The 23,404-nt window shown below is 53.6% G+C and overlaps 3 protein-coding genes across 14 annotated transcripts, besides 11 other annotated features; 1 reads left to right on the forward strand and 2 right to left on the reverse strand.

Annotated features, from left to right (window-relative positions):
• Positions 1–1,117: 1,117 nt before the first annotated feature.
• NFKBID (NFKB inhibitor delta) lies at positions 1,118–15,469 on the reverse strand. 5 transcript variants are annotated; one of them, NM_032721.3, is made up of 12 exons: positions 15,359–15,469; positions 11,885–11,988; positions 11,638–11,698; positions 10,817–11,022; positions 10,079–10,224; positions 9,892–9,997; positions 9,558–9,704; positions 9,384–9,435; positions 9,146–9,294; positions 3,540–3,656; positions 3,056–3,220; positions 1,118–1,778 (listed from the first exon to the last, which is right to left on the reverse strand). In NM_032721.3, the coding sequence occupies exons 1-12, from the start codon at positions 15,447–15,449 to the stop codon at positions 1,725–1,727; spliced, it is 1,398 nt and encodes a 465-aa protein (NP_116110.2). In that variant the 5' UTR covers positions 15,450–15,469; the 3' UTR covers positions 1,118–1,724. The 5 variants fall into 5 exon arrangements, with proteins under 5 accessions (NP_116110.2, NP_640332.2, NP_001352634.1 ...); NM_139239.5 differs by lacking the exon at positions 15,359–15,469 and adding an exon at positions 13,608–13,706; NM_001365705.1 differs by lacking the exon at positions 15,359–15,469 and adding an exon at positions 12,873–12,909 and having other exon boundaries at positions 10,817–11,004.
• Positions 11,421–11,993: an enhancer, noted in NCBI's record as "H3K27ac-H3K4me1 hESC enhancer chr19:36389157-36389729 (GRCh37/hg19 assembly coordinates)". NCBI's record gives its function as "activates a minimal SCP1, AML or CMV promoter by ChIP-STARR-seq in primed H9 embryonic stem cells {active_cell/tissue: H9 hESC(primed)}" and the evidence as "EXISTENCE:reporter gene assay evidence [ECO:0000049][PMID:30033119]".
• Positions 11,994–12,565: an enhancer, noted in NCBI's record as "H3K27ac-H3K4me1 hESC enhancer chr19:36389730-36390301 (GRCh37/hg19 assembly coordinates)". NCBI's record gives its function as "activates a minimal SCP1, AML or CMV promoter by ChIP-STARR-seq in primed H9 embryonic stem cells {active_cell/tissue: H9 hESC(primed)}" and the evidence as "EXISTENCE:reporter gene assay evidence [ECO:0000049][PMID:30033119]".
• Positions 12,578–13,134: an enhancer, noted in NCBI's record as "H3K27ac hESC enhancer chr19:36390314-36390870 (GRCh37/hg19 assembly coordinates)". NCBI's record gives its function as "activates a minimal SCP1, AML or CMV promoter by ChIP-STARR-seq in naive and primed H9 embryonic stem cells {active_cell/tissue: H9 hESC(naive and primed)}" and the evidence as "EXISTENCE:reporter gene assay evidence [ECO:0000049][PMID:30033119]".
• Positions 12,578–13,739: a biological region, named in NCBI's record as "H3K27ac hESC enhancers GRCh37_chr19:36390314-36390870 and GRCh37_chr19:36390871-36391426".
• Positions 12,980–13,229: an enhancer, noted in NCBI's record as "active region_14504". NCBI's record gives its function as "activates an Ori minimal core promoter by ATAC-STARR-seq in GM12878 lymphoblastoid cells {active_cell/tissue: GM12878}" and the evidence as "EXISTENCE:reporter gene assay evidence [ECO:0000049][PMID:35858748]".
• Positions 13,135–13,690: an enhancer, noted in NCBI's record as "H3K27ac hESC enhancer chr19:36390871-36391426 (GRCh37/hg19 assembly coordinates)". NCBI's record gives its function as "activates a minimal SCP1, AML or CMV promoter by ChIP-STARR-seq in primed H9 embryonic stem cells {active_cell/tissue: H9 hESC(primed)}" and the evidence as "EXISTENCE:reporter gene assay evidence [ECO:0000049][PMID:30033119]".
• Positions 13,590–13,739: a silencer, noted in NCBI's record as "silent region_10542". NCBI's record gives its function as "represses an Ori minimal core promoter by ATAC-STARR-seq in GM12878 lymphoblastoid cells {active_cell/tissue: GM12878}" and the evidence as "EXISTENCE:reporter gene assay evidence [ECO:0000049][PMID:35858748]".
• Positions 15,695–17,543, forward strand: HCST (hematopoietic cell signal transducer). Of its 4 annotated transcripts, none has more exons than XM_017026193.2 (4): positions 15,695–15,802; positions 16,517–16,582; positions 16,816–17,069; positions 17,286–17,543. In XM_017026193.2, the coding sequence occupies exons 1-4, from the start codon at positions 15,760–15,762 to the stop codon at positions 17,355–17,357; spliced, it is 435 nt and encodes a 144-aa protein (XP_016881682.1). In that variant the 5' UTR covers positions 15,695–15,759; the 3' UTR covers positions 17,358–17,543. The 4 variants fall into 4 exon arrangements, with proteins under 4 accessions (XP_016881682.1, NP_055081.1, XP_047294046.1 ...); NM_014266.4 differs by having other exon boundaries at positions 16,938–17,069; XM_047438090.1 differs by having other exon boundaries at positions 17,289–17,437.
• Positions 17,569–21,461, reverse strand: TYROBP (transmembrane immune signaling adaptor TYROBP). Of its 5 annotated transcripts, none has more exons than NM_198125.3 (5): positions 21,334–21,461; positions 20,896–20,928; positions 20,612–20,746; positions 20,384–20,427; positions 17,569–17,800 (listed from the first exon to the last, which is right to left on the reverse strand). In NM_198125.3, exons 1-5 carry the CDS (start codon positions 21,392–21,394, stop codon positions 17,735–17,737), a joined length of 339 nt encoding a protein of 112 aa, NP_937758.1. In that variant the 5' UTR covers positions 21,395–21,461; the 3' UTR covers positions 17,569–17,734. The 5 variants fall into 5 exon arrangements, 4 of the variants coding, with proteins under 4 accessions (NP_937758.1, NP_003323.1, NP_001166986.1 ...); NM_003332.4 differs by having other exon boundaries at positions 20,384–20,430; NR_033390.2 differs by lacking the exon at positions 20,896–20,928 and having other exon boundaries at positions 20,384–20,430; positions 21,341–21,461.
• Positions 20,473–20,626: a silencer, noted in NCBI's record as "fragment chr19:36398209-36398362 (GRCh37/hg19 assembly coordinates)". NCBI's record gives its function as "represses an EF-1alpha promoter that drives an FKBP-Casp9 reporter gene in an ReSE screen in HepG2 liver carcinoma cells {active_cell/tissue: HepG2}" and the evidence as "EXISTENCE:reporter gene assay evidence [ECO:0000049][PMID:32094911]".
• Positions 22,438–22,567: an enhancer, noted in NCBI's record as "active region_14505". NCBI's record gives its function as "activates an Ori minimal core promoter by ATAC-STARR-seq in GM12878 lymphoblastoid cells {active_cell/tissue: GM12878}" and the evidence as "EXISTENCE:reporter gene assay evidence [ECO:0000049][PMID:35858748]".
• Positions 22,718–22,767: an enhancer, noted in NCBI's record as "active region_14506". NCBI's record gives its function as "activates an Ori minimal core promoter by ATAC-STARR-seq in GM12878 lymphoblastoid cells {active_cell/tissue: GM12878}" and the evidence as "EXISTENCE:reporter gene assay evidence [ECO:0000049][PMID:35858748]".
• Positions 22,868–22,977: an enhancer, noted in NCBI's record as "active region_14507". NCBI's record gives its function as "activates an Ori minimal core promoter by ATAC-STARR-seq in GM12878 lymphoblastoid cells {active_cell/tissue: GM12878}" and the evidence as "EXISTENCE:reporter gene assay evidence [ECO:0000049][PMID:35858748]".

The raw sequence follows: 23,404 nt of genomic DNA on the forward strand, positions 1-23,404 counted from the left end.
AGGCGCACGCCACCACGCCTGGCTAATTTTTGTATTTTTAGTAGAGATGGGTTTTTGCCATGTTGGCCAGGCTGGTCTCAAACTCCTGACCTCAGGTGATCTGCTCGCCTCGGCCTCACAAAGTGCTGCAATTTTAAGTGTGAGTCACTGCGCCTGGCTGAGAATGGGGTTTTGTGGAATTCTTAGTTTGGGTTTCTCCAAAAGCAGCTATGGAGGGAAGGATTGGAGGGAAAGTTCATTTGGAAGGGATGGAGAACATTGGTAGGGGAGACAGGAAGAGACACAGAGAAGAAAGAGCAGCCAATAAAGGGTATTTTATCAAGCCCAGACCACTGTGGGGAACTGGGGATTCATCTGCTGGGGAACTCTGGAGCCCGCATAGGCCATGCACTTCCAAGTTAGCCCAACAGACAGGTGGGGGACTATCTCCTATCAGTAACTGGCTGAGGGCTGCTGGAGTGGGAAGTGGACACGAACCCCCTGGCTTTCAACACTTGCCATGCTCATACCTGGGGCAGAGCCGCACCAGTGGTTTGAGATTGCCCAAAGGCAAATATTCTGGGGCTGACACCCAGGCTGGTCTCAAACTCCTGGCCTCAAGTGATCCTCACACCTTGGCCTCCTAAAGGCCAGTCCCTCTTGTGTCGCCAGGGTGAGGGTGACAGGATATGGACTTGGCACCCATGGTGGCTGCTACATCCTCCCCCCTCAGGCACATTCATCCCAATATGACCCCTCAGCGGGCATCACAGCCACTCCCCTGCACCAGTGCCCCCAGAGATCAGACAACAGTGGTTCTAGTCCAAATTGAGTTTAAATTTTTTTTTTTTTTTTTTTTTGAGACAGAGTCTCTCTTTGTCACCTAGGCTGGAGTGCAGTGGCACAATCTCGGCTCACTGCAACCTCCGCCTCCTGGGTTCAATCAATTCTTCTGCCTCAGCCTCCCAAGTAGCTGGGACTACAGGCGCATGCCACCATGTCCAGCCAATTGTTTTTGTATTTTTAGTGGAGACAGGGTTTCACCATGTTGGCCAGGCTGGTCTCAAACTCCTCACCTCAAGTGATCCGCCCGCCTCGGCCTCCCAGAGTGTTAGGATTACAGGCATGAGCCACCAAATCTGGCCCAAATTGAGTTTAATAAAGAGCTTGAGTGATGCTCAGATTAGGGAGGGAGTGACCGGGAATGCTGGGGTCTGGAACTGGGGGCCCAGCTGAGCTCTGAATCAGAGAGCAGTGAGACCTAAGGGTCCCTGATCTCAGAGGGTCCCTCCTGTCTCAGGGTGAGGACCTGAAGGGTGTGGGTCCCGGGGAGGGTGAGGAGGCCATTGTAGGAGATTTACTGAGATGGTATCGGGATGCCCCAAGCACCACGTAGGGGGATTACATCTGGGTTTCTGGGAACGAAGAGCTGAGTTAGGGGAGAGAACCCGAAAGATCTCAGTGGGGAAAGGACTAGGGGTGCAGGGTGTTTCACAGAAACAATCAAGGGGCCTCGATTTCACAGAAATCATCAAGAGGGCTCCTTGTGGGTAGAAGAGGGGTATCACAGCACCCCAAATATTGGGGCCTGTTCACCCCTCTGCAGCCATTCTGGGGTTTTAATGTAAAACCCCAATGGCAGGATATTCCACATACATTATCATGGGTTTGCAACATTAGCATACGCTGGCTGTCCCGCAGGACGGTGGGGACTGGAAAATCAGTCCAGGGTCTGGGTTTGAGTCCTAAGAGGACAGGCCTGGCGGCGCCACACGGCTCCTCTTCAACAGCTGCCGGAGCTGTAGACAAGGCAAAGGAGGGAGAGAAGTCTGTCAGGTTGGAAGGAGAGGTGGGGAAGGCACGCCATGCAGAGGGAGGGGCTAGAGAAGAGAGGTTGAGTGGGTCCCTTTGGATTTGAAGATCAGAGGTCCAGAGTCAAGATTTTGGAAGAGCCAGGTGCAGTGGCTCACGCCTGTAATCCCAGCACTTTGTGGGGCTAAGGTGGGCAAATCACCTGAGGTCAGGAGTTCAAGACCAGCCCAGCCAACATGGCGAAACCCCGCCTCTACCAGAGATACAAAAATTAGCCGGGCATGGTGGCACGTGTGCCTTTAGTCCCAGCTTGGGAGGCTGAGGTGGGAGAATCACTTGAACCTGGGAGGTGGAGCTTGCGGTGAGCTAAAATTGCACCACTGCACTCCAGCCTGGGTGACAAAGCAAGACTCCGCCTCCAAAAAAAAAAAAAAGATTTGGGAAGGAGGCCGGGAGTGATGGTTCCTGTGATCCCAACACTTTGGGAGGCCAAGGCGGGAGGATCAATTGAGGCCAGGAGTTTGAGATCAACCTGGACAACATAGTGTGACCCCATCTCTTAAAAAAAAAAAAAAACAAAATTAGCTGGGTGTGGTGGTGACTGCCTGTAGTACCAGCTACTGGAGAGGCTGAGGTGGGAGGATCCCTTGAGCCCAGGAGCTCGAGGCTGCAGTGAGCTATGATCATGCCACTGCACTCCAGCCTAGGCAACAGAGCAAGACGCTGCCTCAAAATAAATAAATAAACAAACAAACAAATAAAAATAAAGATGTGGGAAGAAGGTCAAGGCCTGGGTTCGTACACTGAGAAAGGGTCAGGAAGCAGAACTTCAGTGAAGGGAAAGGGGCTGCTGGCTGGGGGTTCCCACCTGGGGGTGAGGAATGAGAGGGAATTGAAGGGAACAGGTAAGAGGTCAAAGGTCACATCTGAGGTCAGGACCCAAGGTTAGGGGCAGGGGGTAGGAGGTCACACTTGGGGGGATCAAAGGTCACACCTTGAGGTCAAGCAAGATTCAGGGTTGGAAGTACAGGTCACACTGTGAGGTCAGGGTTGGGGTAGAGATCAGAGAAGTCACCATTCTGGGGTAAAGGATGAAACACTGAGGTCAGAGGTCACATTATAGAGTCAGGGTTGCCTGAGGGCTGAAGTCACCTTCCGAGATTAGAAGTCATTCTCTGAAAGCGAGCATTGGGTGGGGCAGGGAGGTCATCCCGCGCCCGCGAGCTCAGAGGCCACTCTACAGGCAGGCTCAGTGCTTACTTACCCCCTCAGGGCCCGGCCCGGGCCGCAGCAGGTGAACGGGCTGCTCATTCTCCAGGTTGCGCAGTGTGGGGTCCGCCCCAGCTGCCAACAGGTGCCGCACGATGGCCTCCTGGGCCGGCCCAGGGGGCAGGGCAGCCGCCATGTGGAGGGCTGTGTTCCCGTGGGCCTGGAAAAGTAAGGGGAGGGCTGGTGGGGATCTGGGCTCAGCTGGCCCAGGCCTCTAAACTGCACTTCAATTTCTGCCTTGTCTACGTCCTACACTTGTCCTTTCACATCCCAGACCTCCCCCGGCCACAGCCACGCTGCATGCATCCCTGTGTCCACGGACTACATGTTCTGGGGCAATCTGTGTCTGCTTCCTATACTTTCCCCTGCAGATCCCACACATCGTCCCCTCCACGTCCACAGCCCCCAGGACCCCTAACATCCCACTGCCCCCCCTACCGTACCCCACACAATCTGCACTTCCCAGCCCCAGCTCCCACCTTCATGTTGACAAAGGTCCGCAGGTCTCCCCGGGGCAGCTCCAGCAGCAGCTGAACCAGAGTGGGGTTGGCAGCCTGCACGGCCAAGTGCAGAACTGTCTTGTTGCTCTTGATCTCCTGAGGGGAAGGGAATGGCAGAGGTCAGGGCCAGCCTCACACCTAGGTGCCCTCCCACAGAATCCAGGAGTCTTTAAAGACCCTGACCCTTGGCGGAGTGCGGTGGTTCACGCCTGTAATCCTAGCACTTTGGGAAGCTGAAGAAGGAGGATCACTTGAGGCCAGGAGCTGCAGACCAGCCTGGACAACACAGCAAGACCTCATCTCTACAAAAAATAGAAAAATTAGCCAGGCGTGGTGGTGCGCACCTGTAGTCCCAGCTGCTTGGGAGGCTGAGGCAGGAGGTTCATTTGAGCCTAGGAGTTCACGGCTGCAGTGGGCCATGACCACACCACTGCACTCCAGCATGGGTGACAGAGTGACACTCTATCTCAAAATTAATAAATAAATAAATAAGATGCTGGCCCTCTTCTGCGAGCCCCACCAAGAGTGCCTTATTCAGTTGTATGTCTTGTGCACCGCACAACACCACGTCTCAGGGTGTACCATTCACACCATACACCTTCCAGAACTGTACATTTCTCATGACAATTTTCCCACCAGTGTCTGAGAAAGAGACTCCTTTTCCAGTTCTTCAAAGCAACTGCCTTGGCTACCTGCCCTCCATTCAACACATTAAATTGCATCCCGACCCACACAGACTGTACTTTATCTACAAGCACAGGAGTTGGCAGCATTAATCAGTGGACTAGCTAATATTGCAATACTGCACCACAATATTGAGCTGTTCCCATCATATTTGGGGGAAAATAAAAGACATTTTCTAAAATGAAACCTTTTTATGTGTCTTTAAGGAGTTTGTAACGATAATGAATGTTAAACATTTTATGTGCTGATAACAGGGCAAAACCACCTAGTTTGCTCGTCCAAAAAATGATGAAGACAAAACCAAAGCTCTAGATTAAGAGTGATTTGAAAAGACGTAACATCATAATATGTGTGCTTATTTGGATCTTGATTTTTTTTAATGAAAAAAATTATCATTTTACAGCCAAAAGGAAATTTGAATACAGCCAGGATATTTGGTATTACAAGAAAATCTTTAATTTTTTAAAGACAGAGCAATGATACTGAGGTTTAAAAAGTTCTTTTTTTTCGAAGGGCACAGGGGCTCATGCCTGTAATCCCAGCACTTTGGGAGGCCAAGGAGGGCGGATCACTTGAGGTCAAGAGTTCGAGACCAGCCTGGCCAACATGGTGAAACCGTCTCTACTAAAAATACAAAAATTAGCCAGGCGTGGTGGCACATGCCTATAATCCCAGCTACTTGGGAGGCTGAGACACAGGAATAGCTTGAACCCGGGAGGCAGAGGTTGCAGTGAGCCAAAATCACACCATTGCAATCCAGCCTGGGCAACAGAGTGAGACTCCGTCTCAAAAAAAAAAAGCTATGTTTTTTGTTTGTTTTTTGAGACAGGGTCTCGCTCTGTTGCCCAGGCTGGAGTGCAGTGGTGTGACCAAGGCTCACTGTAGCCTCAACCTACTGGGCTCGAGTGATCCTCCCACCTTAGCCTCCCCAAGCACTGGGATTACAGGGAAAGAGTTCTTATCTTTTATTATTGTTGTTGTTGTTGTTGAGAGACAGGGTCTTGCTCTGTCACCCAGGCTGGAGTGTGGTGGCAAAATCATGGCTCACTGCAGCCTTGACCTCCCCAGGTTCAGGTGATCCTCCCACCTCAGCCTCCTGAGTACCTGGGACCACAGGCATGTGCCATCAAGCCCAGCTAATTTTTGTATTTTTTTTAGAGATGGGGTCTCCCTATGTTGCCCAGGTTGGTCTCGAATTCCTGAGCTCGAGCAGTCCGCCCACCTGAGCCTCCCAAAGTGCTTGGATTACAGGCATGAGCCACCGCACCCAGCCATCTTTCTTATTTTTAAAAAACTTATTATTATTACTAAAAATACAAAAATTAGTGGGGTGTGATAGCACATGCCTATAGTCCCAGCTACTCGGGAGGCTGAGGCAGGAGAATCACTTGAACCTGGGAGGTTGCAGTGAACCAAGACTGTGCCACTGCACTCCAACCTGGGCGACAGAGCGAGACTCCATCTCAAAAAAAAAAAAAAAATTATTTGTCCTTTTTTCAGAGAAATACTCCCTGATTTCTGAGTTCTCCCAGAACCCTACCACACAGTTAATTCTTCCTCTTCATCATTTCTTGCTCAACTTAAATGTAATTTCCTCAGAATGACCTTCATTGTGAGCCCCGCATCCAATATAAAGCCAATCTTTTTATTGTCTAAGAGCTCCTTCTACATTCCCAAGGCAGCTCTCATCCCAATTTGTAATTATGTTCAGTTCTTTGTTTACTTATCATCTCCTCTCTTTTCCATTAAATTTTAATGTCTAAAAGTACAAGAAAGTGGTCTTTTCTTATTAAAACATTATAGGTAGCTGGGCACAGCAGCTCACGCCTGTAATCCCAGCACTTGGGAGGCCAAGGCTGGGGGATCACTTGGGCCCAGGAGTTCGAGACCAGCCTGGGCAACATAGTGAGACCCCCCCTCTCTACAAAAAATATAAAACAATTAGCCGGGTGAGGTGGCTCATGCCTGTAGTCCCAGCTACTTAGGAGGCTGAGGTGGAAGGAATGTTTGAGGTCAGGAAGTCGAGGCTGCAGTGATTCGTGATCGCACCACAGCACTCCAGCCTGGGTGACAAAGCCAGACTCTGTCTCTAAAAAACAAACAAACAAAAAGCAACTTTATGCCCCATCACTAGCACACTGGTAGCTACATCATATGTGTCCAAAATTCTGAGTGAAGAAACGAATGAATTACCAAAGTATCAATTTCACCTTCTCTGTATTGCCCAAATGATCACTTAGCTCTACTTTGCAACCATTAAGAGCCTAGATTACCATCATTCATTTCCTAACCCCGCTAATAATGCCTTATCTTGTCTCTACTCAGTCATGCCCGTCCTTCTTACAGTCCATCCCCACCATCTAGCTAATTCTGCTAAACACCATTATTCTTTAAAGATACACAAATATTTTTGAAAAAAATACATGTTGGAATTTGCTTAAAAATCACATGAAAGTGAGAGGCCACGCACAGTGGCTCACGCCTGTAATCCCAGCACTTTGGGAGGCCGAGGCGGGTGGATCACGAGGTCAGGAGATCGAGACCATCCTGGCTAACACGGTGAAACTGCGTCTCTACTAAAAATGCAAAAATTTAGCCGGGCGTGGTGGCGGGTGCCTATAGTCCCAGCTACTCAGGAGGCTGAGGCAGGAGAATGGTGTGAACCCGGGAGGCGGAGCTTACAGTGAGCCGAGATCGCACCACTGCACTCCAGCCTGGGTGACAGAGCGAGAGCCATCTCAAAAAAAAAAAAAAAATCACTTGAAAGTGAGAGAGTGGATGGGGCAGGACTGGCCATGAGTGGCTGGTTATTGATGTTGGACATATGGAGTTCATTCCACTATTTTCTATATTTTATTGGTGTTCAACATTCTTTAACTAAAAAAACATTTTTCGGCTGGGCGCAGTGGCTTATGCCTGTAATCCCAGCACTTTGGGAGGCCAAGGCGGGCGGCTCACCTGAGGTCAGGAGTTTGAGAGAACAGCCTGGCCAACATAGGGAAACCCCGTCTCCATTAAAAATACAAAAAAATTAGCCAAGCGTGGTGGTGCATGCCTGTAGTCCCAGTTACTCAGGAGGCTGAGGCAGGAGCATGGCTTGAACCCGGGAGGCAGAGGTTGCAGTAAGCCGAGATCATGCCACTGCACTCCAGCCTGGGTGACAGAGTGAGATTCCATCTCAATAAATAAATAAACATTTTTTGTGGATGTTTAATTCTCTCAGCCAGCCTATGAAGGAGCTACTGTCACAGGAAAGGAACAGAACATAATTAAAAGCTAGGTTCTAAAGTCAGACTACCTGGGTTCTAATTCTCTCTCTGACAGTCACAAGCTATAAGATTTTTCAGGCTGGGTGCAGTGGCTCACAACTGTAATCCCAGCACTTTCAGAGGCAGAGGTGGAAGGATTGCTTGAGCTCAGGAGTTTGAGACCAACCTGGCCAACATAGTTAGACCCCACCTTACAAAAAAGTTGCCACGCATGGTGGTGCATGCCTGTGATCACAGCTACTTGGGAGGCTGAGGTGGGAGGATCACTTAAGTGCACAAGGTCAAGGCTGCAATAAGCTGTGATCATGCCACTGCACTCCAGCCTGAGTGACAGAGTGAGACCCTGTCTCAAAGAGATTTTTGAGGCCAGGTGCAGTGGCTCACGCTTGCAATCCCAGCATTTTGGGAAGCCGAGGCAGGAAGATCACCTGAGGTCGGGAGTTCGAGACCAGCCTGACCAACATGGAGAAACCCTGTCTCTACTAAAAATACAAAATTAGCTGGACGTGGTGGTGGGAACCTGTAATCCCAGTTACTCGGGAGGCTGAGGCAGGAGAATCGCTTGAACCCAGGAGGCGGAGGTTGTGGTGAGCCGAGATCACACCATTGCACTCCAGCCTGGGCAACAAGAGCAAAACTCCATCTCAAAAAGAAAAAAAAAAAGATTTTTGATTTCCCATGCCTGTTTCCTTTTCAGTAAAATAGAGAAAATAGAGTACACATGTCAAAGGGTGTTTGTGAGGTTTCAATAAGCTAATCTATGAAACTCAGTGCTTGATGAATGAATAGTAAGTGCTTGATAACATACCCTAAGGTCAGTAATATTATTCCCAGTTAACAACTAGGGGCCAGGCACAGTGGCTCACGCCTGTAATCGCAGCACTTTGGGAGGCCAAGGTGGGAGGATCATTTGAGGTCAGGAGTTTGAGACCAGCCTGGCCAACACAATGAAAGCCCACTTCTACTAAAATACAAAAAAAAAAAAAAAAAAATAGCCAGGCATGGTGGCGTGCGCCTATAGTCCCAGCTACTCAGGAGGCTAAGACAGGAGAATCACTTGAACCTGGGAGGCAGAGTTTGCCATGAGATGAGATTGCACCACTGCACTCTAGCCTGGGCGACAGAGTGAGACCCTGTCTCAAAAACAAAAAAACAAACAAACAAAAAAACCCTGCTGGGCGCGGTGGCTCACGCCTGTAATCACAGCACTTTGGGAGGCCAAGGCAGGTGGATCACCTGAGGTCGGGAGTTCGAGACCAGCAAGACCAATGTGGAGAAAGCCTGTCTCTACTAAAAATACAAAAAAATTAGCCAGGCGTGGTGACTCATGCCTGTAATCCCAGCTACTCAGGAGGCTGAGGCAGGAGAATCACTTGAACCCGGGATGCAGAGGTTGCGGTGAGCCAAGATCACACCATTGCACTCCAGCCAGGGCAACAAGAGCAAAACTCCATCTCAAAACAAACAAAGAAACAAACAAAAAACCCCTAAGGCACAGAGAAGTGAAGTAACATGTTCAAGGGCACGCAGCAAGGAAGAGGCAAAGTCAGCATTTGCCTGGAGCTCCCGGACATCCAAGTGGCCCCATTCCACACAATCTCCCAGGGTCTGACCGCCCACATCCCCGCTCACCTGGCTGGTGTGATTAGCACCCATTTGCAGCAACATGTGGACACAATCCAGCCTGTCTCGGGCCTGTGTGCTCAGCACCCGGGGACAGAGGTCGGAAGGGCGCATAGCAACGTTAAGGGCCAGGATGGCCGTGTGGAGCGGGGTGAGGCCTGCAGAATGGAGACAGTGAGGGACCCGCATCTGCACCCACCTCGCCCAGCCACACCAACCACACCAGCCCTGCCCACACCCAACTTACCCTCGAAGTCTCTGGCTTCCAGGTCAACCTGGACCCCAGAGTTAAGCACAGCCTGGGAGGAAGAGAAGGCAGACTGCTGGGTAAGGGTATCCCCTGGCCTCCTGGCCCTGGAAGCCAAAATCTGGGCAACCAGTCTACCCCCCAGACAAACCCCTGCCTGCCAGCTGGCCATACCAAGAGAACTCCTGGGAGCCCGTAGGTAGCGGCCACGTGCAAGACCGAACGTCCCTGATGGTCAGCGGCATTGGGCTCTGCTCCCAGGTTCAACAGATCCTCCACAATCAGGGGCTGGTTGGCAGCAGCCGCCACCAGGAGAGGGGTCTGCAGGCCACAGGAGAAGTCAGGTTGGGCTCCTGGTTCCCTCCCGTCAGAAAACCAGGCTCCCAGCCCCATCCCCCCTCAGCCCCAGGAGCTCACCCCCCATTCCCCTCTTCTCTAGGATCCAGGGGTCCAGGCCCCAGGCTCCTTCCTCCCCTGAACCCAGGAGAGTTCAGGCCCCAAGCCTCACCTTGCCCTTATGCTCACGAATGTCAAGACGCCGGTACACCTGGAGCACCTCAGCCGCAGCATATGCCGCCCAGCGCAGCCCCCGAGCCGCAAACAGGTGAAGGAGCCTGAGGACAGGTGGGGGACAGCCGTGAGAACAGCCCCCACCAAGCCAAGAGTCTGCAGACAACCCTATCCCTTATACTCACGTGTCCCCCTCCTCATCCTGGGCCAGCAGCTGCTGTGGCCCCAAAGCCAGCATGTGAGCTCGGGCCACCTCCAGCGATGGTCCAGGGACCACAGCGGGGAACTGTGGGGGTCCTGAAGGGGGTGCAGAAACTCTCCAGGGTCCAGCCTGTGGCAGAGAAGATCCTACATAGAACTGGGTGTCTGGGGGGTCCTGGAGGGTGCAGGTGGTGGGGAGACCCAGTCAGCTGAGAATTCCTCCATCCCAAGCCACCACACACACATCTGCATGCAGAGCCCCTGGGTATCCCATCTATGCCAAGTGACCTTGGACCTTTAGGCCTCAGTTTTGCCCACCTGGAAAAGGGTATTTTTTTTTTTCGGTGACAGAGTCTTGCTCTGTCACCCAGGCTGGAGTGCAGCAGTGCAATCTCTACTCACTGCAATCTCTACCTCCTGGGTTCAAGCAATTCCCCTGCCTCAGCCTCCCGAGTAGCTAGGATTACAGGCGTGCGCCACTACACCCAGCTAATTTTTTTATTTTTGGTTTCACCATGTTGGCCAAGCTGGTCTCAAACGCCTGACCTCAAGTGATCCGCCTGCCTCAGCCTCCCAAAGTGCTGGGATTACAGGTGTGAGCCACCACGCCCGGCCTGGAAAAGGGAATCGTAACTGAGCTCCAGACATCTCAGAATACTGCAGGAGTGCAACTGCGAATTTTTAGGGGCCCTTCAGCATCCTGTACCCACTCTGTATCTCACCTCCATGCCCTGGGGAAATGGGCACGGCTGCCCTGGGTCCGAGGGTGGGTAGAAGTCAGGAGGCAGGAAATTTTCGGCAGCAGAAGCAGGGCAAGAGTAGGGGCTGTCAGTGTAGGCAGCATGCGTGTTGGGGTCCCAGTCTGGAAAGCCCAGGCTGCTAGGTCCAGAACCCACAGTCTCCGAGTGTGCTGGGAAGGGAGGGTGGCCTGCGTGTAAGAGGAGGGGCAGGGGCAGGTCTGGTTACCAGAGTTGGGGACGTCACATCCAGGGCTAGAGGGCCTGGCGTCTCCCAAGGTACTGAGAGTTAGTACTTCTGGGACACCAAGCTCCCGGGACCTGGATTCCTGGGACACTGAGGAATTGAGGGCCTGGACTCCTGGGGCACTAAAAAGGCTGAGCCTGGGCCCTGGGGCTCCGTAGGACTATGTGCATAGACTACTGGACTCAAGAGAACCTAGGAAATCAGACTGCTACTGAGTTCCAGCAAGAATGAGGGCCTACCAGCCTAGGCAACATAGCCAGACCCCGTTTCTACAAAAATTTAAAAAATTAGCCAAGCAAGGTGGCATCGCCTGTGGTCCCAGCTACTTGGGAGGCTGAGGCGGGAGGATCACTTGAGCCCAGAAGGTTGAGGCTGCAGTGAGCCAGATAGCGCCACTGCACTCCAGTGCCAGGGCAACAGAGTGAGATCCTGTCTCAGAAAAAAAAAAAAAAGGGAAGAATGAGGGCCTGACTCCCAGGTGTCCCAAAGTTCTGAGAGCTGCGATGTCTGAGTCCCTTAGGGAAGGGGGATGGGGAGGCCGGGAGCTGAGAGAACTTACCAGTCACAGCCTCATTCACAGATGGGGTCAGGGGCTGCTCTGGGGGAGGGAGAAATTGTCCCTGTAGAGACAAAAGCAAAAAGGAACCCAGGTGACTTTATCTGGCAGATTCCTCCGGGTCTGTCTCGGATCTATAAGACATTTCGGTCAGGACCACCCCTCTCATCAGCCCCGAGGGCCCGGCAAGCCGCTGAGTCCCTACGGGACAGCACGGGGCCTCCGGAGAGCTGTGGCTCCCTGGCCTCACCTGCACCCCGCCAGCGTCGGGCTGCTGCTGCTGGCGGCGCCTCTGCTCTTCCAGAAGCTTCTTCACGGTTTGCGTTGGGCAGTGGCTGCGCTCACCCCTGCTCACTGTGCGGGAGAGGAGAGGGGGAAGTCATCAAGGGTCCTTAAGTCACCTAAATGCCGCGGGGGTGGCGCGCGGGGAGTGGGTTTGGGCACCCTCCTCGCCCTCCCGCGCGGAAAAACTGGCACATAGATGCCGCCTGACTCCTCCAAAGCCATTAGAAGATTTGGGGTGGGGCATCCGCCTCCGCCGTTTCCTTCCTTTTGCTCCGCACTTTCCCTCTGACCCAACTTTCCACCACCGTCGCGGAAAGTGAGGAAGGGGGAGGAGGGCACCCCTCTGCAGCAACCACCCCACTTCCGTAAAAAAATTCCACCCCCAGATATCCAAGTTTTGAAGTCAGCGGGTTGGTGGGGGGCCGGCGCCAGGCGTCACTCCCTAGACTCACATCCAGGTTCCCAACATTTTTTTCCCTAGAACCTGACCCGGAAATCAGGAGTCCCCAGCGCCCCTCCTCGAGAAGTCAAAGGCCTCACCCCGGGCCGGGAGCGGTGGCTCACGCCTGTAATCCCAACACTTTGAGAGGCCAAGGGGGGCGGATCACCTGAGGTCAGGTGGCCAACATGGTGAAACCCCGTCTCTACTAAAAATATAAAAATTAGCCGGGCGTGGTGGCAGGCGGCTGTATATCCCAGGTGAGGCAGGGGAAACACTTGAACCCGGGAGGCGGAGGTTGAGGTTGCAGTAAGCGGAGATCGCGCTACTGCACTCCAGCCTGGGCGACAGAGAGAGACTCCATTAAAAAAAAAAAAAAAAAAAAAAAAAGGCCCATCCATACAGTCTCTTTTTCAGGCCCCAGGAATCTGGACCCTCAGTTCCTTCCTCTCTAGGACCTGGGAGCCCCAGTTCCCAAACTCCTTCCCACGACTCAGAAAGACAGAACCCTCACCCTTCCGAGCCTGGGTTCCGGCGGAGGAAGGGTTAAGTGGGGATTGCGCGGGGCGGGGGCGGGAGGAGGTGGCTCGGAAACAGCCCCGACGCGGCGCGCTGACGCCACGGCGCTCACGCAAGGGAATCTTCCATCCTCCCCTTCCCCCCAAGTCCTGTGCCCCAGGTGTCCTGCTCCGAGGCGGGGCGCGCGGCCGATCGTGGCGCTCGTGGAATCCCCGCGCAAGGGGAATTCCTGCTCAGCCCCGCACGGGTGGCCATCCGGAAATCCCAGGGCGGGGCAGAGGCAGGGTCACCGCCAGCGTAGACCCTGAGGCCAGGCTCCGGACCCTTCCCCACCGAGACCCACGCCGATTTTAAGCAACCACGCCCCCCCCCCCCCCCCCCGCACTCAGCCTAGTCCCTGCTTCTAGGGGTAGGAGTCTCGGTTGCCAGCAACCCCTAGCACCTCCAAGGACCCAGAGATCCAGCCTCCCAAGCCTCCCAGCCCTTGCACCCTCGGGGCCCTGCGATCCTGGATCCCCAGGCCCCTGCACCCCCAGGACCCAGAAGTCTGGGATCCCAGCCGCCCCTCTGTCACGATCCACGATCCCCTCCTCCTCCAAACACCTAGGGCCCTCACTCTCGGGATAAAGGACTGACGCTTCAGCTCCGTCCCTCAGGGCCTCGGGAGTCTTTCGATCCTCAGTCCCTCACTCTCTTAGGGGGCCGAACGCGTCCTGCCCGCGCCCATTACCTCGGGGATTCCGTGGCGTGGATTGCGGGCCCCCAGGGCCGCGGCCTCGGCGCTGCGCCAGCCTCGCTGTTTCCCCCGCGGAGCCGCCGCCGGGTCCCCGATCTTGGGTCCGGTACCCGCGAGTTTTTAAACTAGGGGTTATGGCACCGCCCAGTCCTGGGCAGGGCCCGCCCACAGGCCTGGGAGTCCCCGGGTCGCGCTCCGGCGAACGCAGTCCCTGAATGGGCGCGGCGGACTTGGGAGGCGGACTACTCAGTCCCCCCGGGAAGGAGGGAGCTGGGGTCCAGATCTTTGCTCTGAAGGAGCCTAGGGCACCGGGCTCCAAGAGGAGGGAGAAACCGGGGGGCCTGGATTTCTTTTCTTTTCTTTTTCTTTTTTTTCTTTTCTTTTTTTTTTTTTTTTTTTTTTGTTGTTGTTTTTGAGAAGGAGTCTCTGTCGCCCAGGCTGGAGTGCAATGGTGCGATCTCTGCAAACTCCGCCTCCTGAATTAAAGCGATTCTCCTGCCTCAGCCTCCCGAGTAGCTGACACTACAGGTGCTGGACACCATGCCTGGCTAATTTTTGTATTTTTAGGAGAGATGGGGTTTCACCGTGTTGGCCAGGCTGGTCTCGAACTCCTGGCCTCAGGTGACCCGCCTGCCTTGGCCTCCCAAAGTGCTGGGATTACAGGCTTGAGCCATGGTGCCTGGCTGGGGCCTGGATTTCTGGGTCTGTGTCTAAGGGGGTGCTGGAGGCTTTGTCTCCTGGGTCCTGCCCATGGGGGTAGGGGTAGGAGTGGGGATGGAGATGGGGTGGGGGCAGGGAGAATATTACTGGGTCCAGAGGGAGGCAGGACTGGGGGTCTAGACTCCCAGAGGAAGGGTCTGTGGGTAAGGGTATAGGGTGTGGCTCAATTTCTCCCTCTCCCCTACATCACCCTTTTTAGAGGTCTGGTTTCATTTACTCATTCATCATTTAAAATAATTTATTGCAGCAGAGGAGGCATTTTGCTGTGTATTGTGAACTAAGCAGGCAGGAATTCCCAGCCCTGGAGCTGGCATTCCAGTGGGAGGCCACTCTCAGTTTCACTTGGTGACCTTTCACAGCACTGACCATGTTGGCCCTATTTCTCCCCTGCTTGCTTGCTTTTCTATTTTATTTTATTATTACATTTTTATTGTTAGAGAGAGGGTCTCATTCTGTCGCCCAGGCTGGAGTGCAGTGGCAAAGTGGTGAGATCTCGGCTCACTGCAACCTCCACTTGCCTCAGTCTCCCAAGTAGCTGGGATTACAGGAGCCTGACACCATGCCCGGGTAATTTTTGTATTTTTGTAGAGACGGGGTTTCACCATATTGGCTTGAACTCCTGATCTCAGGTGATCCCCCCACCTTGGCCTCCCAAAGTGCTGGGATTACAGGCATGAGCCACTGCGGTGGCCTCTCCCCTGCTTTCAAGATGCCATGCTCTCAGGGGTCCCCTCCCTCTTTCTCCATTTCCCTGGCAAAGTTCCTCCTCTTCCCCCATTCAGTGTGTGTTGTGATAGGGGCAGAATCCTGTCTGCACTCACTTCCTTGGTGATCTCACCCAGTCTTGTGGCTTTAAGTACCATCCATAAGCCATCAACCCCCAAATTTACATCTCCAGACCAGCCTTATCCCCTGAACTCCTAAATGCAGTGAGGTTATTCAGCATCTCCACAGGGAGATTGTCAGGCATTTCCAACCCTGTATGCCCAAACCTCGTCACTTTCCCCGCAAACCCACTTCCCTACCTTTCATCTCTGCCAGCAGACACTCCCATCTTCTCAGCGTTTCATGCCAGAAGGCTTGGCTGTCTAGGATCCCTCTCAAACACACCCACATTCATTTAATCAGCAAATTTTCTTGGCCCTACCTCCAAAATATTTCCAGATCTCCCTAGCCTGCACACCCTTGCCACCTGTCATTCCCACTTGGACCAGGCCAGCAGCCTCCCTGGTCTCTCTGACCCTCCCCCTGAGTTCGTTCACCAAAGGCAGTAACGGAGACACCCCCTCAACACACACAGGAAGCAGATGGCCTTGACACCAGCAGGGTGACATCCGCTATTGCTACTTCTCTGCTCCCCCACAGTTCCTCTGGACTTCTCTGGACCACAGTCCTCTGCCAGACCCCTGCCAGACCCCAGTCCACCATGATCCATCTGGGTCACATCCTCTTCCTGCTTTTGCTCCCAGGTGAAGCCAGTGGTTACAGGGGATGGTAGGCAGAGCGTTTGTGAGATGGGTGCTTGGGTGACGTCTGCAGGGACGGGTGATGAAAGTGGGGTTCTTCTCCCTGCACCCCTTCCCTTCTGGGAGATCCATTCTGCTTCAGGGCCTGGGTCCTTGGGGGCGGAAGGGGGTGAGACAGGGAGTTCTGGAGGGGCTGCCTGTTAGCGTCCCCTTCTCATGGCTGGGTCTCTGCTGCCACTTCCAATTTCTTGTCACTCTCCATGTCTCTGGGAGTCCCCTTCCCATGTGGTCCTGTTCCATCTCTCCAGCCTGGAGATTACTTCTCAGGACACTACCTTTCCTTCTCTACACCCTATTTTTTGGTTTGTTTATTTTGAGATGGGGTCTTGCTCTGTTGTCCAGGCTGGAGTGCAGTGGCACAATCACGGCTCACGGCAGCCTTGACTTCCTGGGCTCAGGTGATCCTCCCAGCTCAGCCTCCCGAGTAACTGGGATTACAGGTGTGAACCAACACTTCCAGCTAATTTTTGTATTTCTTGTAGAGACGAGGTCTCACTATGTTGCCCAGGCTGGTCTCGAACTCCTGGGCTCAAGCGATCTTCCTGCCTCGGCCTCCCAAAGTGCTGGGATGACAGGCGTGAGCCACGGTGCCAGGCTGAGCATTCTGTTTTGTGGACCTTCTCTCCACCCTCATCCACCTTCTTTCTCTTTCCACAGTGGCTGCAGCTCAGACGACTCCAGGAGAGAGATCATCACTCCCTGCCTTTTACCCTGGCACTTCAGGTATCACTTCCACCCCAGAAGCTTGGCCAGAGGCTCCCAGAACACCCCAGTGGTTCTCCAGGTCACCATCCCACCTCCCGTCCCCAAATCAGAGGATCCGTGTCCTTCTCCGAGTCCCAGAATCAGCGACCCCCAGCCTGTGTTCAGGAGCACCCCGTGTGCCCGCCGCACAGCCCCGAGGGTCCTGGGACACCCCAGCCTCTCTGCATCTGTCTCCCGTTTCATTCCCCAAGCGCAACTCCAAGGAACCTGGGACCCGCCCCCTCGCAGGGGACTTCCTCTCTGCCTGTGGCCAAAGCACAGCCCCAGGACGCAGAGCTTGAGTTGTCTCCCTGTTCCGGCCCCCACTCTCCAGGCTCTTGTTCCGGATGTGGGTCCCTCTCTCTGCCGCTCCTGGCAGGCCTCGTGGCTGCTGATGCGGTGGCATCGCTGCTCATCGTGGGGGCGGTGTTCCTGTGCGCACGCCCACGCCGCAGCCCCGCCCAAGGTGAGGGCGGAGATGGGCGGGGCCTGGAAGGTGTATAGTGTCCCTAGGGAGGGGGTCCCAGGGAGGGGGCCCTTGGGGAAGCCCTGGAGGAGGTGCTGGGGAAACCCTGGGGGAGGTGCCTGGGGGAACCCCTGAGGAAACCCCTGAAGCAGGGGGTCCCCAGGGAAGTGGAGATATGGGTGGTCAAGCTTCATGCTTTCTCTCCCCTATCCCCAGAAGATGGCAAAGTCTACATCAACATGCCAGGCAGGGGCTGACCCTCCTGCAGCTTGGACCTTTGACTTCTGACCCTCTCATCCTGGATGGTGTGTGGTGGCACAGGAACCCCCGCCCCAACTTTTGGATTGTAATAAAACAATTGAAACACCTGTAGTCGTATTCTTTCTCAAAGAACCCCAGAGTTCCCAAAGCCTCCCTCCCATGAACTGTTTCTGGATCCAAGGCCCCCTCAGAACCCCCACATGTCCCCATCCCATCAGCCCAAGGATCTGGCATAATGTTTTTGTGCTTCATGTTTATTTTAGGAGAGTATTGGGGAGCGGTCTGGTCTCTCAGGGATGGCACTCTGTGGGTCTGTATCGCGGTAGGAGTTGGAATGAGGTGCAGGGTGGGCTTCAGGAATGGCTGGATCCAGGTATCATGTTGCTGACTGTCATGATTCGGGCTCATTTGTAATACGGCCTCTGTGTGTTGAGGTCGCTGTAGACATCCGACCTCTGACCCTGGAGCTCCTAAAGGAATGGGGGCCATCAGTGGAAGGGACCCACCAAATAAAATCCAGCCTTCTCCCAGTGGCCTGCAAGGCCCCTGGCAGCTTCTTCAGCCTTATAGCCATGAAAGAGATCCGGATTTTATTCAAGTACATTCAATGTTCCCCCTTCTCCTCTGCCTCATCAGTGTGCCCCAGCCTCAGGGTCCCTGCGTGTGCTGTTTCCTCTGCCTAAAACTCTGTTCCCCTAGATCCCCTCTCCCTTCAAGTCTCAGCTCACGTCACCTCCTCAGAGAGGCATTTCTCAATTTCCCCTCTGTAGTTTCTTCCCCCCACACTCCAGCCACTGTAAAAAAAAAAAAAAAAGCCTGTTTATTTCCTTTACTGTGCCTCCCAAAATTATTTTATTTGTTCATTTGCTTTAAGTTTGTCTTAACTAGGATATAAACTCTGTCACTGTGTCCCCAGCATTTAGCACTTATAGGTGCTAGACACATCCACAGAGGGAATAAATACATCCGGGTAATGCTTTGCCCTAAAATTTCACTGCCACCAGTAACTGGAAGGGCCCCTCGGTCTTCTGGATATCACAGAGCCAAACCTGAGATTCTTAGACTTCACAAAGAAACTTTATCCACAAGTGAGGTGAATAGGCAAAGCTGGTTGCAGACAATATATCAGACTTCACACAGCAGTGTTCACACTTGGGGTAGGGGGAGGATCTATGTGGCCCCCAGGGGCAGGCCTCAGACAGAAACCCTAAAATCATATATGATGACTAGTCTGGGCGTGCATTCTTCAGGGGAGAGGTCTTAGAGAATCTCATGACCCCCTAAAGGGTTAAAAAGGAACATTGACAGAGAGGGGGATAGATGACTAGATTCTCTTGTATACTCTATAGTTTTTAAAAAGAGCTTCAGCCAGGCATGGTGACTCATGCCTATAATCCCAGCACTTTGGGAGACCGAGGTAACAGGATCTCTTGAGCCCAGGAGTTTGAGACCAGCCTGGGCAACATAGTGAGAACCTATCTCTACTTTAAAAAAAAAAAAAAAATTAAGGCCGGGCGCGGTGGCTCACACCTCTAATCCCAGCACTTTGGGAGGGAAAGGTGGGCGGATCACGAGGTCAGGAGATTGAGACCAGCCTGGCCAACATAGTGAAACCCCATCTCTACTAAAAATACAAAAATTAGCCGGGTGTGGTGGCATGCACCTGTAGTTCCAGCTACTCGGGAGGCTCAGGCAAGAGAATCGCTTGAACCTGGGAGGTGGAGGTTGCAGTGAGCTGAGACCACACCATTGCACTCCAGCCTGGGTGACAGAATGAGACTCCATCTCAAAAAAAAAAAAAAATTAAAGTAGAGAAAGAAAAAAGAGCTTCAAGAATACTCAACCAGCATGGTTGCTTGAGCCTGTAATCCCAAGATTTTCGGAGGCTGAGGCGGGAGGATCACTTGAGACTGGGAGTTTGAGACCAGCTGGGGCAACATAGTGAGACCCCTGTCTTTTTTTTTTTTTTGAGATGGAGTCTCACTCTGTCGCCCAGGCTCACTGCAACCTCCGCCCCCTGGGTTCAAGCGATTCTCTTGCCTCAGCCTCCTGAGAAGCTGGAATTACAGGCGCATGACACCATGCCCAGCTAATTTTTGTATTTTTAGTAGAGATGGGGTTTCACCATCCTGGCCTGGCTGGTCTTGAACTCCTGACCTCGTGATCCACCCACCTTGGCCTCCCAAAGTGCTGGGATTACAGGTGTGTGCCACCATGCCTGGCCAAAAAAAAATTTTTTTTAATTATAAAGAACATTTACACTGCTCTCAGATTATATGCACAATTTTGTATTTTTTGTGTAGATTTTTCTGGGAGTCTAGATTTTCTTAGTTTCTCAAAGGGATGAAGGGTCCTCAAACCCAAAAAAGAGATTCTAGGACTCCTCTCTTTAGAGTTACCAAGGTAGGGCTGAATGACATTCTCTGCCCTACTGAGAGCGTCTCCCAGAAATCAGTCGTCCTAGGGCTGGGTTTCTTCCAGAAAATTCCTGGCCTGACTTCTGGCAAGGCCTGTGTTTACACTTACAAAGGCAAAGCCACCCTTTTTTTTTTCTTTTTAACTCTTCACGCTTTTTTTTTTTTGACAGAGTTTTCCTCTTGTTGCCCAGGCTGGAGTGCAATTGCGTGATCTTGGCTCACTGCAACCTCCGCCTCCTGGGTCAAAGGATTCTCCTGCCTCAGCCTCCCAAGTAGCTGGGATTACAGGCATGCGTTACCACGCCCAGCTAATTTTGTATTTTTAGTAGAGACAGGGTTTCACCATGTTGGTCTCGAACTCCTGACCTCAAGTGATCCACCCGCCTCTGTCTCCCAAAGTGCTGGGATTACAGGTTTGAGTCACCGTGCCCAGCCCCTCTTCACACATTTTAAGCTGACCATAAGCTTGTGGTTGATCATTCGGCCCAGTTTTGGACAGATGTCCCATGTGCCTTCAAGGTTTGGGGGTGCTTTAGGCAGAGTGGCTTTGAGGTCCCTCTGATGGCATGAAGGAGTATCTGGGGCAGATATCCCTGGCAGGAGTGAAATGTGAGGAGGACAGTCTGGTTTTCTCACCTGATAAGGCGACTCGGTCTCAGTGATACGCTGTTTCCGGGTCGCTGCTGGAGGTGAGGGGTGTTGTGGGGTGCAGAGACAGGCAGAGTGGTGAGTTGAGGGTGTTTTGTCATTCCAAATCAGCACCTCCATTACCATCCCTTTGGATGTTTGAGATCTGGGAGTTTACCCAGCCCCCCACCCCCATCTAGGCAAGTCCTCAGGATGTCCCCTGCTAGCCCCACTCACCCTCCGCAGCCCCTCGCCCCCGAGGGACCAGCCGGCCCAGGAAGTACACGGCCAGGGCAATGAGCACTGTCAGCACCAGGTCTCCCATCACGATCCCTGCCAGCACGCCCGGGCTCACCGTAGAGCAACTGCAATCTGCAGCACAGGGGTCAGGGGAGGTCAGTGTGTGCTGGGAACTGTGGGGAGGGGGGTCAGCGGCAGGGAGGTTTGGAAAGGGTGTGGGAGAGACGGAGACAGGGAGGTCTCTGGGAGGTAGAGAGAGGGACTGCTGGGTCTAGGCCTACCGCTCTGGGCCTGGGCCTGGACAGGACGGAGACCTGAGGAGGAAAAAGAAGGTAAACTGAGGCACAGAGTTATGACGGGGGTGGGGGAGGCAAGTTTAGAAGCCAGGGAAGGTGGATCCTGACAGCCAAGAGGTTAGCAAGGGGGAGAGCGTGTCTGGCGGGACTCAGGGGGCTGGCGTCTGGGCCACCGGACTATGTGCGTTACTTCTGCACAACTTGTCCTGTGGCAACACACTTAGATGTCTCTTCTCCCCTGCTTGTAGCGGACGACAAAACTTGGGGGCTTGGGCTCTGGGAGAAACCCACAGGCTTTGGGAGGTTGGGGACCTGCTCCCATCCCAACACCCACTTTTGGTTCTCTCGTTCCACCCCACTCCCTGCCCTGCCCCAAGCTGAGCCCAGGGACCCGGGAGGCAGCCACGGAAGCCCCTAACTCACCACTTACAGCCAGCAGGAGAGGCAGGAGCAGGAGCCTGCTGCAGGGTTCAAGTCCCCCCATGAAGCCGGATGCTGCTGGACACCACAGTGTAAGGGCCGGTGGGATGTGGCGCAGCGTCCAGGCAAGTGAAGGAGGAAGTCTGAGGCGGGTGGTGGCAGAAGGGAGGAGGAGACAGGGGAGGAGAGACAGAAACAAAACCCAAGAAAGAATCAGGCCCAGACACCCAGGGGCCATGCCACAGGCCCCCAGCAACTAGACGTGAAGGGCAAAGGGTACGTGAAGCACAAACTTCACCTCCGTCCCCAGTCAGGGGTCAGACATCGTTTTAACAGGAGGGTCAGTGTCATGACCTTCCTCTGGCTGATTGAAACCAGCTCTGCCTCTTCCTGGCTGGTCAACCTTGAGTGCAATGGCACGGTCTCGGCTCACTGCAACCTCTGCCTCCCGGGTTCAAGTGATTCTCCTGCCTCAGCCTCCCAAGTAGCTGGGATTATAGGCGCCTGCCACCATGCCCGGCTAATTTTTTGTATTTTTTTTTCTTTTTTTTTTAGTAGAGACAGGGTTTCACCATGTTGGCCAGCTGGTCTCAAACTCCTGACCTCAGGTGATCCACCCACCTTGGCCTCCCGAAGTGCTAGGATTGCAAGTGTGAGCCACCGCACCCAGCTCCAACCTCAGTTTCTTCATCTGTAAAATTGGGAGTAAAATGGGACCTACTTTTTAGAGTTGTGGGGATTAAATGAATTAAAGTTCCTAGACCAGGGTCTGACCCTTGTCAGCTTTTTAAAAGCATCAGCTATGATGATGATTATTTAATCATCAGAAACTTGTGCTGTTTAAAGGATATTAAAAGAGCCAGCAGCATGTGGGCACTAATGACATGCAGGCACTCTGTCCCAAGCGTTAAATCATTCAGTCCCCGCAATGCCCTTCTAGGGCACATGCTCTTATCATCCCCATTGTTCAGAGAGGTAGAGACGCTTGCCTAAGGCTGCACAGCAAATCAAGGTGGAAATGGAACCCAAGACCCAAAATCAGGTTTTTGACTAGGGAAGAGTCAGGGGGAAAAACAAAGATGAAAGATGGGGAAGGAGAAAACAGCGGCAAAGCTGAGAAAGGTGAGAGTAAGGCAGTGGCACAGACACAGAGGCACGGCTGGCGGCTTGGGGAGAGGCAGGTGGCTGGCTCTCCTGCTGAATGAGGAAGTGGCTGGGAGCAAGGCCCAAGGGAGGCCACCCCAAGGAGACGGGGACTTCTAGCCCCCAGCTGGAGCCTGGGGCTGGGGAAGGAGGAACCTGAGGTTAGGGTGCTGGAGGATGAGACAGCTGCAGGAAGCCCCCCTCCCCCATCCACACGTCACACCCACCGCTCCTTGGGCCTGGGCTTAGGAGAAAAAAGGGGAAACTGGATTCTGGTCACAGGGCAGATGCCCAGTGGCCTGTGGGGGAAGGGAGGAGAGGAGATTTGGAGCCTGGAGGAGGGTCAGGTCCCAGCTCAGCCCACGGTCACCACTGTTCAGGCCTGGCTGAGTCCCCTCCCTTAAAAACCCAAGCCTCTCCCATTGTGTCTAGAGCGAGCATGGAGGGAACAGACCCTGTAGGTCCTCCCGGGCACACCAGGCCACCCAATGTGTTGGAGCAGAGTGGGCGAGGGGGCAGTCAGAGACCAGAGCAGGGCTCTGAGCCAGGAGGGCCCTGACCTGACTCAGGGGTTCACAGGTTCCCTCCGGCCGCAGGTGGGGAGCAGACTGTGGAGGCAGGGACTGGAGCAGGGAGGCCAGGCTGCTGGGATATTTGTGAGGATATTGTGAGGTCTATTAGAATAATGCCTGGTTGAGTTCAAGACCAGCCCGGCCAGCATGGTGAAACCCCATCTCTACTAAAAATTAGGCTGGGCACGGTGGCTTATGCCTGTAATCCCAGCACTTTGGGAGGCTGAGGCGGGCGGATCACGAGGTCAGGAGATCGAGACCATCCTGGCCAACATGGTGAAACCCGGTCTCTACTAAAAATACAAAAAATTACCTGGGCATGGTGGTGGGCACCTGTAGTCCCAGCTACTCAGAAGGCT

This window comes from Homo sapiens, chromosome 19 (assembly GCF_000001405.40).
Source record: "Homo sapiens chromosome 19, GRCh38.p14 Primary Assembly".
Lineage (NCBI taxonomy): Eukaryota > Metazoa > Chordata > Mammalia > Primates > Hominidae > Homo > Homo sapiens.

Bases quoted from the DNA above. Each gene is read 5' to 3' on its own strand.
- NFKBID (NM_032721.3), bottom strand. From the start codon at position 15,449: ATGTGGGTGTGTTTGAGAGGGATCCTAGACAGCCAAGCCTTCTGGCAT. The intron at 11,023-11,637 runs GTAAGTTCTCTC...TCTTACACGCAG, and splicing joins TGTGAATGAGGCTGTGACTG to GCCACCCTCCCTTCCCAGCA. The intron at 3,221-3,539 runs GTGGGAGCTGGG...TTACTTTTCCAG, and splicing joins GGACCTTTGTCAACATGAAG to GCCCACGGGAACACAGCCCT.
- HCST (XM_017026193.2), top strand. From the start codon at position 15,760: ATGATCCATCTGGGTCACATCCTCTTCCTGCTTTTGCTCCCAG. The intron at 15,803-16,516 runs GTGAAGCCAGTG...CTCTTTCCACAG, and splicing joins CTTCCTGCTTTTGCTCCCAG to TGGCTGCAGCTCAGACGACT. The intron at 16,583-16,815 runs GTATCACTTCCA...TCATTCCCCAAG, and splicing joins CTTTTACCCTGGCACTTCAG to CGCAACTCCAAGGAACCTGG.
- TYROBP (NM_003332.4), bottom strand. From the start codon at position 21,394: ATGGGGGGACTTGAACCCTGCAGCAGGCTCCTGCTCCTGCCTCTCCTG. The intron at 20,929-21,333 runs GTGAGTTAGGGG...TTTCCTCCTCAG, and splicing joins TCTCCTGCTGGCTGTAAGTG to GTCTCCGTCCTGTCCAGGCC. The intron at 20,747-20,895 runs GTAGGCCTAGAC...CCTGTGCTGCAG, and splicing joins CCAGGCCCAGGCCCAGAGCG to ATTGCAGTTGCTCTACGGTG.